Consider the following 14,424-nt stretch of genomic DNA (forward strand, 5'->3'; position numbering starts at 1 on the left):
CCTTTCTTAATTGCCTTAACAGTGATTACTTAGTGTCTATTATGTGCTCAAATGAGATTATTGTGCATGATGATGATGATGATGATGGTGATAGCTTACAATTGTTACCTGAGTGGGCTCATGCTGCAATAGGACTCTGGATGGAGTGCAGGGTTATAAATAAGCACTTTTTTTTTGTCTTTTGTTTTTTGTTTTTTGCTTTTGTTTTTGTTTTTTTTTTGGTTGTGACTAAACTGAAATTGGAGGACTAGCCTTCACATGAATATCTGCCAGCTTTATGAAATGGTGTAAGTCGGTCAACATCTGAGACTCAAGTTTCCTCATCTGTTTAATAGTTGCAAGGATCAAAATGAAATCATGTATTTGAAAGGGCATTATAAACTATAAATGTACAGATATTTTTAAGGAAATATCACAACATGGTATTAAATTGTGGAAGAAGTTGCTCATACTCATGTTGTGATTTTGAAGGGGAGCAAGGAGGACTTTTTTGCTTGATTTTATTTTTTCCTTTCCAGAATCTTCACAATTAGAGGACCATTTTTCATGTTGAACATTGTTCCCTCTAAGGTCCTCTTAAAATATAAATAATTCAGAGACAATATTTAGAGCTGGAAAGAACACATAATGACCTAACTACATCTTTTTCCTGACATAGAAAATGTGGGCAAGCGAGATTGTATAGTGCCCAAATTCATCCAGATAGTAGAAACTCCCACATCAATGTCCACTTCTCTGACTTTTAGTCCAGTGCTCTTTCTGTAACACTCTGATGCCCATTCGTATTCCATTAAGTTTTTAGTCCAGAGAATTTCCCCCCAGAATGTAGCCTTGGGAAGAATAAATAAATAGATGACTAGTGGGGAGATATCAGGTTTGGGATTCCTTTAGGTGGAAGAGTAGTGCTTGGATCGGAAGGACCTGATCTTGAATCTTAGCTCCACCCCTGACTAGGTAGCTGTGACCTGGGCAAGTTACTTTTCTGAGACCTACTTCTCTCCTTTATAAAATCAGGATATAATCCCATTTTGCCTGGTCTTTGTGAGGATTTAGTGAGTTTAAAGGGCTTGCCAAGGCGCCTGCCCTGTGGTAGAAGATACTCTAAAATGAGTAGGAAATGGTTATTGTTAGATAAGAGGTCCTGGAGATTAGCTTGATCTCCCTCACAGTTGGTCTGCCTTTTGCCAGCCATTCTTTCACTCTCCTGTGAGGGTGTGTATTTTTTAAGAGGAGAGGAAACTGCACCCTCCAACATTGCTGGTTCCCTTCCCCAGGATCGGGGAGGGAGGACTATGTGAAAGGCCCCTGCAGAGATGCCTGCACAGTGGGGGACACTCCTGCACTGGCCAGAGGATGAGCTGGGACTTAGCAATAGCCCTTCCTTTCTCTTTTTTCTCACACAGCAGCAGCTCCAGCCCGATTTAAATTTCCTTTAAAGGAGCTGAGGATGATAGGAGGGTGGAGATGTGCATCTTGAAAGAACGGCAGGTGACTCTAAAAATGAGACAAATCAAAGCTCCTGCATCTATAGCTGCACATCGCTGTGTCTTAGGTGGCTCTGCTTCTTATTTTAAGTTACCAAGGTGGCTTCCTGAAAAGTGGGTTTCAGTTTTTTAACTGAGAGTTTATTATCCTGCATCTGTGCATCCTGCCGATCTGTGAGCTGGGTAGGACCTATTGTTTCTAGTGAACTTACAGCATGTAAAGCATGACCACCTATGGGTTAACATTTAGGTAGTGGAGGAACTTCTAGGGACAGAAGAAAACAGGAAACACCCCAGAGTCTGAGTCCCTTCTCAGGTATGGGGGCTGGGTCAGCCTTTACCTGAAATAAAATAAGAGCAAGGGATGCAGGGAAGTGAGCTCCTGTGGCCCTCACCCTCCCCTCTACCCAGCACCCTCCACTTTCCTTCTGACCTAGGGAAAATGGTCTAATACTGGTCCTTTGTGTCTTCACTTTTTTTTTCTGAGCCCTTCACATTTCAAATCTGATATCCTAATGGTGAATGAGTTGGGGATGGTTTGGGAAGGCGTTTTAGGGATGGTGACTCTTGAAATCAGAGCCTGTGCTATTTGCCTAATTTTTCCAATTTTTAGGGCTGGCATCAGGGAGAGGTAGGACAGTCCAGACATCTTTCTGGTCCAGAGATGCCTATTTCCTGTCTGACTCATGCCTGAGCCTCAAAAAGCTCCCATGAGAGGAGAGCCATGGGCTCTGGCCAAAGACTGGCTCTTCTCTCTGTGTTGGTCAAGTACTTACAATGATGGATTTTTCTTGGTTTAAGCGGAGGGGCAATTGGGGAGAGCTTTGCTCTGTACCTTTTTTCCTTTTTAAATTTTATTTATTTATTTAAAATACATATGACATAAAATTTGCCATTAGAATCATTTTTACTGCTACAACTCAGTGCCTATTAATGAAGAACCACTTAAACAGTGACTTCCTCTTGCTCTGTTCTTTACACAATTAAATTATCTTCTTCAGCATCTGAGCAAATATGGGGATTTCTAGTTTATTCCCCTCTTCTGCCTTCTCCTGTTCCGTCTCTAACCATTTTCTCTTCTTTCTTCCCAGAACAGGGGCCCATGGAGTTGGGAATGAGGACGAGTCTTGTAATATTCAGGGATAAGAAATAGGGGAGTATTTTTCATCTCCCCCTTGACAGCTATGTTATTTATTTATTTATAAAGATAATCATACCTGCTATCACCCAGAGAAAGATATGTATCTTGCTCCACCACCCTAACTTGTTCTCCTGAAGCAGGGATGGTAATGCCAAATTATCTGCTCCTTGACCATCATGGGCATCCTAGCAATCAGTGACATACCTCAACAGGCAAGCTGCCCTTGTCCAGTGCAGTCTTGACATTGTGACTTAGTTTTGGCTAAGCCTTTTTAAGAGGAGACTTGCTTGTACATAGCTGAGATCAAACACACTTCATAGTTGAGTTGTTATTACCTATATATTTATTAATATCATTGTTATTTAAGGTAGTATGATTTGGGAATATAGATAGATAGATAGATAGATAGATAGACAGATAGATAGATAGATACATATCATCCTGCAATAAATAGTTTTTAAAATATCTTGAACAAATTCCTAATTGCACTTCAGTACTGTGATCGATGATGAACAAGAAACAGTTCAGACTTGATCTCGGCCTTCTGGGAACTTAAAATCTAAGAGAAGTATGTGTAGGTGGAAGGATGGAAATCCAAATCAATATTGGAATCAAAAGTGAAGCATCTGGGGATGGGATCCAGCACTTACTGAAGGTTTGCTGTGTGCCGGGTGCCAGTTTTGGGTGCTTTATTTGTGTCAGTTCATTTTTCCCTCATAACTTTATGAGTTGGAGGTTATTACTATCTCTCTTTAACAGAAAACTGTGATGAAGAGAAGTTAGATTATCAAGCTCACATGGCTAATAAGCTTCAGAGTGGGTAATGAAATAGAGGAAAATACAGATGTAAGGTAGTTGAGTCTACTGTATTATTGATGTTGAAATCAGGATATTACAGAGTTTGTGAGTGCGGATAGGCTGAGAGTATCAGAGCAAAAGGGTGGGAGAAGGTAAAGACATCAGCTTTTATTTCATTTTAAAATGACATAATTTTGCAAAAATAATAGACCACAATTAGGATACTCTTACTGTGTGCCAAACATTGAGCTGTAACTTTTGCATTCAGCATCTTGTTTAATCTTCATGGTGACTCGATGAAGTTTCTACTATTATGAGCCACATTGTAAAGATGAGTAAATAAAAGCATGGTGGGGCTCAATACCTGACCCATGTCACAAAGCTGGTGAGTGACAGAGCTGCAAGTCCCACGTGGACCATCTGACTTGAGAGCTCCTTACTTGATGAGTTACAGAGCCCACTTCTCCAATTCATACCAGCCAGGGAAGCAAGGCCTCAGCAATGCAAGGTTGAACTGCTGACCCCATGAGGGCTAAGATGGGTTTTCAGCTCCTGGGCCTTTTTGCAATTAGACTGGCATGTTCTTTTCTAGAAGCCTTCATTGAATATTTGTACTTAAGCTCTGGTGTTTCCAGGCAAAGAGCAAGATGAGTAAAGGCTTGGAGGTGAGAAGTAATAGGGTGTTTTTCGGAACTAGGAGAGTCAGGAAGAGATGGGTCCAGATCACACAGGCATTGCATAGCCCACTGGCAAACTTGCATGTTATTTTTATAGGCACTGGGAACTCTTAGTAATTTTAAACAAGGGAAACATGTAATTAGCAGTGGCATCAATTGTCCTCAAAACACCACAAAATCCATTCTCCCTACTTCATGGGAGGAAAAAGAAAGGCTCAGAGAGGCTGAGTTTTTGCCTGGAGTCAGTCAGCAACTTGTTAGTGGAAGGAGCAGCAGAAGCCCACACTGCCGTCTCTCCTTCCAGCTCTGGGAGCTGCCGGCTGCCTTCCTTTCACTCTGCCTGTTCCCTTCCCACCTCTTGCCCGCTCCCTCCTGGCACAGTGGAGTCCTCTCCATCATTACAGCAGCCAGTGGGGTTCTGTTGTAATTAAAGGAAGCCAACAGGGAGAAGCAAGGCAGAGCAAGGGAAAAAAGCAACCACCAACACCACACAAACTCCGTAACAACTGCTGTCTATCGCCTTTCATGGGCACTTGCTTGCTTTAAGTACAGCAGAGGGAAACCCCATAGGATGGTGTGGGAAAGCAGGTTATTAAGTTGCCTTCAGGCTGGCAGAGGGGGGATTTACTCCTTTTCTTGTACTCCCTACCCTGCAGTGCAAAACTGATCAAATATTAAAAGTTGAAAGAGACTTCGAAGGCCATTTAGTTCAACTTCTCCTCCAAGGCAGGGCTTCCTCCATTGCTTTCCTCTCTCCGCATGGCATCTCTGATATGTTGTTATGTGGTGGCTCCCTCGCTCCCCAGCTCCCCACATTTTCTGGATCAAAGCTTAGGTAGGGATGGGAGACATTTTCACTAGCAAAATACTGGCCACACAAGCCTGTTGTCATTTACGGCAATGACTTCAGAAATGTTTAATTAATTCATTTATCCAATTAGCCTCTTGCTCTCTGAAATGCTTTTTCTAGGTTGCTGAGCAACTAGGACAGACTTTGAACACATGCATGCTGCTGCTGAATGAACCAGGAGCTTTTTCCTTCACACTGGCAGCCCCCCACTCCTCTTTCTTCTTTTATTTTTCTGGTGCACAGTAAAGAAGAAGATCTCTATCATCCCCCATCCTTCTCGCCTTCCCCACCCCGGCCTCTCTGAATGTGCATGCTGCCTGCCTTAACACATTTCCAAAGGTAACTTTTATGCCAAGCATTTGTCATGGACAAGGAGAATGACAGGATATATGGGCACACAGAGATGCCTCTGTAAAATAATGAAATTATCTGGGCTCAGGCATGACTTGGGAAGAGCTTTGCTGGTTGCTGGGGGAGGCGAGGGTGAGGGCTGGCTAAGGGTAGGCTCAGATGCATTGGGGAAGAAGGTGCAGGCTGTCTTGGGGTGACGTTGCATTAAGTGCAGCTTGACTAGGCAGCAGTTCCATCTGTCTTTACAGTGTGTCCTTCATGGGGGAATTGTCAGCCATCCCCAGTCTGGAGTGCATTGTGAGCAATAAACAGGAGCGGGGCTTAAGGTGAAAATGAAAGGAAAAATATCAACCCAGGAGGGCAGCAAAATGCCTTGAGGAATCATCCTTGACGTGTAACACATTTCCGTTTAAGGATGTGAAAATGCCACAGGCTGCTTCACTGAGTTAGAATGTTAGAGATGGACTTTGAGCTCAAATTGCCACCATTCTTCGTTTTTACAGATGAGAAAATCGAAGCTCAGGGAGGATAAACTGTTTGCTCAGTGTCTCACAGCCATGTCCTGCTTATGTCACCACATTCCTCCTCTTAGATTTCATTAAGGGGCCCTTGTCCATAAAATTAGTCACTTGAGTCATCAAAGCTTACTTTTAAAATTTTGACTTTATTTTGGAGTAGTTGAAGTTGGCAGTGAAGATTTGCAGCGCTCAAGGATCTTGGCATCTATCTCCCCATTCACCTTGACATGTGTGTATTGCAGATGCTAGGGGCGTGTGCTTGGGCTCAGTATTCAAATATGAATGAGGAAGGGTCCCTTGTCTTCAAAGACCTCCCCCAAACCCCTCATGTGGTGGAAGAGATGGACAGTAAAGGAGGAAGGAACTCCTTCTCAGAGACATTAAAGAAGCATTCAGAGAAGAGGAGCTGGGCAATTTGCTGGGCCCAGATCTTACAGTGAAGGGGGCTATGGGGATGGGATCGGGGTGGAGGACATTCCTGGTCAAGGAGACAGCATGGGCCCAGTAAGGAGGCATGAGAGATGGTGACATGTTTGAGGACTGGAGAGTGGCCTGGGAATAGAGCCTTCCAGCTGTCTGGCTTTTCTCTGATGCATGGTGGATGGTTTGGTGCTGCCCACACCGACTTCTGGAAGACACCGCCTCTTGCTCTCTGGAATAATAAGAAAGCACAGTTATCTCTATGCATGTATCAGTATGAAAAAGCATATGCCAGGATTCCCGGATGGAAATGACTTCCCTTTGAAGTTAGTTCATAAATAATGATGAAGACCATAAAAGTACACATGCACTGCACACATTTAGCTACTGCTGTGGACTGTGCTTGCTGGGAGCAGAACCTTCAGGAAAACCAGCTGCCCAGAGAAAGAATGAGGGACTATACATTCGCTAAAGCACGGGCTCCCAGAGCCTCCTGTAGGACCAAGGGAGACCTTTTATGGAACAGGGTCTATTCCACGGCACTCACAATTGTAGTAATCACTTAGTCACTCTGAAATTCCAAGAGATAGTCAGAGAAAAAACATGGCCTGTGACAATGATTGCCCTGACCAAGCCTTTCCAAGGCAGCAGATGCTTCTTTACTTCCAAGCATTGCCCGTCATGATCAAGTTCTTCCTCCAGCAGTGCAGCCACGTTTCCCTGGTGGCAGACATTCCTTTTCCAAGGTTGGGCTTGCTTTTAGAGGGCCCAGAGATGGCAAACAGCATTGTGTAGTGCTCCTTAGTATAAACTCTCCTCTGGGATTGTTCTTAACAAGGTGGTTTGAGTTTCTCTAGGAATTAAGCTGGGGCTGGCTATTATTTTTCTGGTAAGACTTGTTACTCTAAAATGCATATGGGGCCAAAATCACAATAGTCTTGTCTTTGGAGCAATCAGACGCACATGGCAATCTAAGGCTCTGGTAAGGAAGAGTCCGTGGGTTCTTATTCAATAAATATTTAATACATTGGGCTTTGATGGATGTAGACACTGTCTGCTTGGGTTTTCCTACACCAAAAGGTGAAGTCTCTGGTGGTCACTGCCTCTTGTTTGTTCCTTTGATTTCCTTTGACGAAAAACAATTCTTGTCTTGGTGAGGTCTATTAAATCTGTTCTTTTCCAAAATGGGGCTGGTAGTGCATGTTGGACAGAACTGGAACTTTCCCTCTGGTCATTCCTTGCCATCCCCTGGGTGATTCGGTTTCCCATTTTCTGGGATGTGCTGATAGGGCTTGTCTCCCGCCCCCTCTTATATAAGGAGGCAGGGTGCATCTAGTGCCAGATTTTATTCAACCCTGTAACAATCCCCCCTTTATGACATCACTGCTCATCACCATGGAAACATTTCCTCCGAGTCACAGAGACTGGATTGTGGCATCATAGCATCAGGCAGGAGGAGGAGAAGAGGAAAGGGGAGAGGATTGAAACTGCCTGGAGGGATGAAATGCCAATAAAATAGGACGCAGTCACAGAAATAGGATTTTTCTGTCCGGATCCTTGAATGGAGAATCTAACCATGAGCCACAGGAATAAACCTTATCTAGCATAAGGAGGAAGAGCTTTTGTGGAATGTAGACCTGGGACCTTTTGTTCCTGTGCAGTATTTCTTCAGGGAAATGGAATAATTTTAATGAGAGCTATGCTGTATTTTGTTTTATTTTAGAGACAGGGTCTTGCTCTGTTGCCCAGACTGGAGTGCAGTGATGTGATCATAGCTCACTGTAACCTCAAACTCCTGGGGTCAAGTGATCCTCCTGCCTCAGTTTCCCAAGTAGCTGGGACTATAGGTGCATGCCTCCATACCCAACTATTTTTTTTTATTTTTTATAGAGATGGGGTCTCACTGTGTTTCTCAGGCTGGTCTATCCTGTATTTTATATGCATTTCTTATTTCATCCTCACAAAGTCTCTTTGGACTATTGGATCAGAGAGGTTAAATAACCTGCCTAAGGTAACACGGCTAGAAAATGGCAGAGCTGAAAATTATTAGGGGCATAAGATGTAAACTGTGTTCTCATGCAGCTTAGTGTTGGGAGAGAGAGAGAGAGAGGAGAGAGAAGAGAGAGAATATGTTGGAGACAATTATCAAGTTAATAACATATACATAGTTAAAATTGTGGTAGGTGTCATGAAGAGAACAGACATGATGCTTTCAGTGAGGAGATACTGGAGTGTGCATAGGAACTACTTATGTTTGTATGTTATTAAATTTGGGACAAGGCTCTGAACCTAGTTGGTATGGACTTAGACGTGCAAGGCACTGTGCTCACATATGTACTGACTTTCCCGAGCTCACGTGCTGGGCCCCACAACCAATACCCTTCTCCTCAGCTGCTTTTCTCTGCCTATGCCCCATCTTTTTGCTTCTCCATTTGTCTTCTCCCTTCTCCTGAGATCTTCCTGCCTGCCCTCCTCTCTTGATCCTGTTTCTTCCTACTGATCTCTGATCTTCTCTTTCTCTAGACTATAAACTCCTCAAGAGAGAGAAAACTGTTCCCCTGTTTTATATCTTGGTTTACCCAAGGATCAGGCTCTAGCCTGATCTAGGACTGCTTCTATGGTCTGCTACAGAAATAAATGAGCAATGTCCCTTTTTAAAGAAAAAAAATGACTACATTTTTCACAGTTAAAAAATATTGTCTAGTAGACTTTTCTTAACAAACGCTGGCTGATAAATGAATGAACAAGTAACAAGTGAGCATTAAAAGGGAACAAAACCCCAGAGTAAATGGCCAATCCTGTGTTGTTCTACAGCTTGTTTGTCGTTGTTTGCATAGGTTCATTATGATTGTGATTTCAAGTTGTATTCATGTGATCTGGCCACCTTTTCTCTTAATACAACTGGTCCAAGTCTGTAGGATGGTGTCAGCTTAGTGCTTCACAGGGTTCTAAGAGCTGGGGGTGCTTTGCCATGGACCTCCTCTGGGAGCTGCTGTGCTGGTGCCCCATGTGGCAATAGATGGATGTAAGGAGGCCTCATACTTTCCATTTGTGTCACCTTGCTGAGCTTTCCTTGATTCATCTGAGTTTCAGGAGTGTTTGCCACTTGAGTTCAAGGCGCCTTCGTGGCACTCCTAGGATTTAAAGTGGGCAGGTTGGTCTCAATTTGGTCTCCAGTGTCTGGGCTGCCCAACTCAGATGAGCACCTTGCTGGTTGGAGGTCTGCAATTAGACTTTATTGCAACAGCTGTGTGTGTGTGTGTGCGCGCATGTGTGTGCACGCGCAATAGTAAACCATATTAAGTGCCTTTACTATCCAACCTTGTTCTTTCCAGGGCCTACAGTAACTTGATCTGACTTCTAAGGGGGCCCTTCTGGACCTGCTTTATGGATTCTATCAGAACCATTTATGACGGGCACATGTAGAACTACTAAGTGCCTTTTTTTCCTCTTTTTCTTTGTTAAGTGTTACATGGGGAGTGAATAGTGAATTAATTAAGACCACAGGGTTTGGAGTGAGAGAGACAAGAGTTTGATCCTGGTTTAGCCTCTTACTAGCTATATGGTCTTGGGCAAGTTACCTGTATTCCCTACATTTAAATGTCTTCATATACAAAATAGGCATGAATATATATTTGTACCTACTTCATAATGTTGATATTCAGATTCAGTGAGATACACTTGTATTGTCTTACCATGATGTCTGTCTCATCAAAATTAACTGTGATTAAGTGGGTCAAATGTACCATTTGCATATTTTCCCCCAAAATTATGCAAATACTTTTTGAACTCAGAATAAAACTTGAACTATAGCACAGATCATATCTAGACTTTTTCAAGTTTGAATTAGAAGGGTCAGAATAATTGGCATTTTAATTGTTCACCATTTACAGGCACCATAGGTGAAGGGAGTCTAGGAAGAATAACTCTTAGTTGGAACTAATTCCCGAGAGCCTTATCAGATATTAGAGATATTTTCCCCAAGTGCGATTCTGACATTAGGACTGTTAAAGCAAATTAAACAGGTGCAGTCCCCTCCCTCTGAGAGCAAAGAGTTATCTTCCAGCGGGGAAGTTAGTTCAGCTGGACATGTGTCTGTGTTGATATGCACATACACTTCAGCAGAGAGAAGTGTTAAGAACAAGCACTGCCACTCAAAAGTGGCTCTGTGACTTTAGGAAGTCAGTTCATCTTTCTGGGCCTCCAAATCTTCAGTATAGAAGGGGAAAGGGTAGTAGCTACTATATGCTTTTTCCCTTCAGCATGTTTATTGATGTATAATATACATGTACTAGAGTGCACAGATTTAAAACATTTATTATTTTTATTGTGGCAAAATACACATAACATAAAAGTTTACCATCTTAACCATTTTAAAGTGTATAGTTCAGTAGCATTAAGTACATTCATAATGTTGTACCAGCGTCACCGCCATTCATCTCTAGAACGCTTTTCATCTTGCAAAACAAACTCCATACCCATCAAATAATTACTCCCCATTCTACCCTACTTCCAGCCCTGACAACCATCATTCTACTTTGTGTCTCTATGATGTTGATTACTCTAGCTACCTTAATAAATGGAATCATATAGCATTTGCCTTTGGAATATTTCACTTAGCATGATGCCCTCAAGGTTCATCCATGTTGTAATATGCGTCAGAATGTCCTCCCTTTTTAAAGCTGAATAATATTCCATTGTATGTATTTACCATGTTTTGTTTATCCATTCGTCTGTTGATGAACACTTGGGTTGCTTTCATATTTCAGCTATTGGGAATAATGTTGCTATGAACATGGGTATATGGTATACCAGTATCTCTTTGAGATCCTGCTTTCACTTCTTTTGGGGAAATGCCCATAAGTGGAATTGCTATATTATATTGTAGTTCTACGTTTAGTTTTTTGAGGAACCATCACACTGTTTTCAATAGTAGCTGTACCAATAGAACAGAAGTCTTCCAATTTCTCCACGTCCTCACCAACACTTTCTGTTTTTTTTTTTATAGTAGTCATCTGAATGGAAGAAGTAGTAGCTCATTGTAGTTTTTATTTTTATTTCTCTAATGATTAGTGATATTGAACATCTTTTCATGTGCTTATTAGTCATTTGTATATCTCCTTTGGAGAAATGTCTATTCAAGTCCTTTGCCCATTTTTGAAATTGAGTTGCTTGTTTTGTTGTTGAGTTTTGGGAGTTCTCTATATATTCTGCATACCAACCCCTTATCAGATGTATGATTTGCAAATATTTTCTTCCGTTCTGCAGGTTGCCTTTTTACTCTGCTGATGGCATCTTTTGATATATAAATTTTTTTAATTTTCACAAACTCCAATTTTTCTCTTTTGTTGGCTATGCCTTTGGTGTTGTATCTAAGAAATCCAATGTAGTGAAACTTTTCCCATAAATTTTCTTCTAAGAGCATTATGGTTTTAGGTCTTACATTTAGGTCTTTTATTCATTTTGAGTTAATTTTTATATACGGTGTGAGGTATTTAATTGTTTTCTATCAAGTTTTCTCAGCACCGTTTATTGAAAAGACTGTCCTTTCCCCATTGAATTGTCTTTGCACCTTTCTCAAAAATCATTTGACCATTTATATGAAGGTTTATTTCTGGGCTCTATTCTATTGGTTTATGTATCTGTCTTTTTGCTAGTGCCACACTGTTTTGATTACTGTAGCTTTGTAGTAAGATTTTATTCAGGAAGTATAAGTCTTCTAGATTTGTTTTGCTTTTTCAGGACCGTTTTAGCTATTCAGGCTCCCTTGAGATTCCATATGAATTTTAGGATGGGCCTTTCTATTTCTGCAAAAAACATCATTGGGATTTTGATAGAGATTGCATTGGATCTGTAGATTGCTTTGGATAGTATTGACATTTTGACAATATTAAGTCTCTCGTTCATGAACATGGGGTTTGTCCATTTATGTCTTTAATTTCTTTCAGCAGTATTTTATAATTTTCATTGACAACTCTTTTCTGTCCTTTGATAATTCCTAAGTATTTTATTATTTTTACTGCTATTATAAATGAAATTGTTTTCATAATTTTCTTTTCCAATTGTTCCTTGTTAATGTAACGATATGCAATTGATTATTGTCTGTATCCTGCTACTTTGCTGAATTTATTAGTTCCAATCTTTTTTTAAACTTTAAGTGTTCTACATACTACATCATATCGTCTGTAAACAGAGATAATTTTACTTCTTTCTTTCCAATTCGTATGCCTTTTTTTTTTCTTGCCGAATTGCTCTGGTTAGAACTTTCAGTACTGTGTTGAACAGTATTAGTAAAAGCCAGCTTCCTTGACTTGTTCCTGATCCTAGAGGAAAAGTTTTCAGTCTTTTATGATTGAGTATGATGTTAACTGTGTGTTTTTTTTTATATGGCTCCTATTATGTTAAGGTAGTTTCATTCTTTTCCTTTTTTTTTTTTTTTTTTTTTTTTTTTGCGACAGAGTCTTGTTCTGTTGCCCAGGCTGGAGTACAGTGGCACAATCTCAGCTCATTGCAACCTCTGCCTTCCAGGTTCAAGCAATCCTATTACCTCAGTCTCCCAAGTATCTGGGACTACAGGTTTGTGCCACCATGCTTGGCTAACTTAAATATTTTTTTTTTTCTTTTGTAGAGATGAGGTCTTACTATATTGCCCAGGATCTTGAACTCCTGGGCTCATTTTTTCTGCCTCAGGCTCTCAAAGTGCTGGGATCACAGGTGTGAGCCACCATGCCTGGCTGGGGTAGTTTCCTTCTATTCCTAGTTTGTTGAGTGTTTTTATCATGAAAGGGTTGGTGGATTTTGTCAAATGCTTTTTCTGCATCAACTAAGGTGATCGTGTGTTTTTTTCCGTTTCATTCTGTTAATGTGGTATACTGGTCAATTTTCATAAGTTGAACCATCCTTGTTTTCCAGGAATAAATACCACTTGTCATGGCGTATAATCCTGCTAAGATGCTGCCACATTTGGTTTACTAGTATTTTGTTGAGGATTTTTCCAGCTGTGTCAATAAGGGATACTGGTCTATACTTTTCTTTTCTTATAGTGTCTTTGACTGGCTTTGGTATCAGGGTAATTAATGCTGGCTTCATAGAATGAGTTAAAGAGCTTCCCCTCCTCTTCAGTTTTTTGGAAAAGTTTAAGAAGGATTGGTGATAGTTCTTTAAATATTTGGTAGAATTCACTGGTGAAACCATCAGGTCCAGGGTTTTTATTTTTTGGAAGATTTTCGGCTACTTAATTTCCTTACTGTTATAGGTCTATTCTGATTATCTACTTCTTCATCATTTAGTGTTGGTAGGTTTTGTGTTTCTAGGAATTTGTCCATTTTATCTAAGTTTTCCAATTTGTTGGCATACAATTGTTCATAGTACTCATTTATAGTCCTTTTTGTTTCTGTAGAATCAATAGTAATGTTTCCAGTTTCATTTTTTATTTTAGTGATTTGAGTCTTCTCTCTTTTTTTCTTAGTCTAGTGAGGTAAATATTTGTCAATCTCATTGATCTTTTCAAATAACCAACTTTTGGTTTCGTTGATTTTCTCTAGTGTTTTTCTGTTCTCTGATCGCTGTTCTGACCTTTATTTTTCCTGTCTGCTAGCTTTGGGTTTAGTTTTCTTCTTTTTCTAGATTCTTAAGTTAGGTTATTGATTTGAGATCTTTCCTGTTTTTTAATTGTAAGTGTTTATAGCTCTAAATTTCCCCCTTAGGACTGCTTTTGCTGCATCCCATAAGATTTGATATTTTGTGTTTTTGTTTTCATTCATCTCTAAGTATTTTCTAATTTCTGTTTTGATGTTTTCTTTGCTGCATTGTTTGTTTAAGAGTGTGTTGTTTAATTTTCATTGCTGCTGAATAGAATGTTCTGTATATGTTTATATCTAAGTGGATTATTGTATTAATTCTTTCATTTCCTTATATTTGGTCTAGTTGTTTTATCCATTTTTTGAGGGTAAGGTATTAAAATCTTCAACTGTTATTATGAAGCTATTTCTCCCTTCAATTTTGTAATGCTTTTACTTGATATATTTTCATGGTCTGTCATTAAGTATTCATAACTGTTGCATTTTCCTGCTGTTCTGAACCTTTTATTAATGTATATTGTCCTTCTTTGTCTCTTGTTTGCAACTTTTTTTGATTTAAAGTCGATTTTGTTAGATATTAGTATAGTCACCTTTGTTCGCTTTTG

General features: G+C 40.4%; 1 protein-coding gene and 1 long non-coding RNA gene across 2 annotated transcripts in view; one reads left to right on the forward strand and one right to left on the reverse strand.

The window, feature by feature from the left end:
• Nucleotides 1-14,424, forward strand: part of SORCS3 (sortilin related VPS10 domain containing receptor 3) — a 623,953-nt gene that overhangs the window by 17,373 nt on the left and 592,156 nt on the right. The window lies entirely within an intron of this gene.
• Nucleotides 5,946-7,554, reverse strand: SORCS3-AS1 (SORCS3 antisense RNA 1). The gene is made up of 2 exons (NR_104028.1): nucleotides 6,787-7,554; nucleotides 5,946-6,471 (listed from the first exon to the last, which is right to left on the reverse strand). It is a non-coding gene; the product is annotated as an SORCS3 antisense RNA 1 (long non-coding RNA).

This window comes from Homo sapiens, chromosome 10 (assembly GCF_000001405.40).
Source record: "Homo sapiens chromosome 10, GRCh38.p14 Primary Assembly".
NCBI lineage: Eukaryota > Metazoa > Chordata > Mammalia > Primates > Hominidae > Homo > Homo sapiens.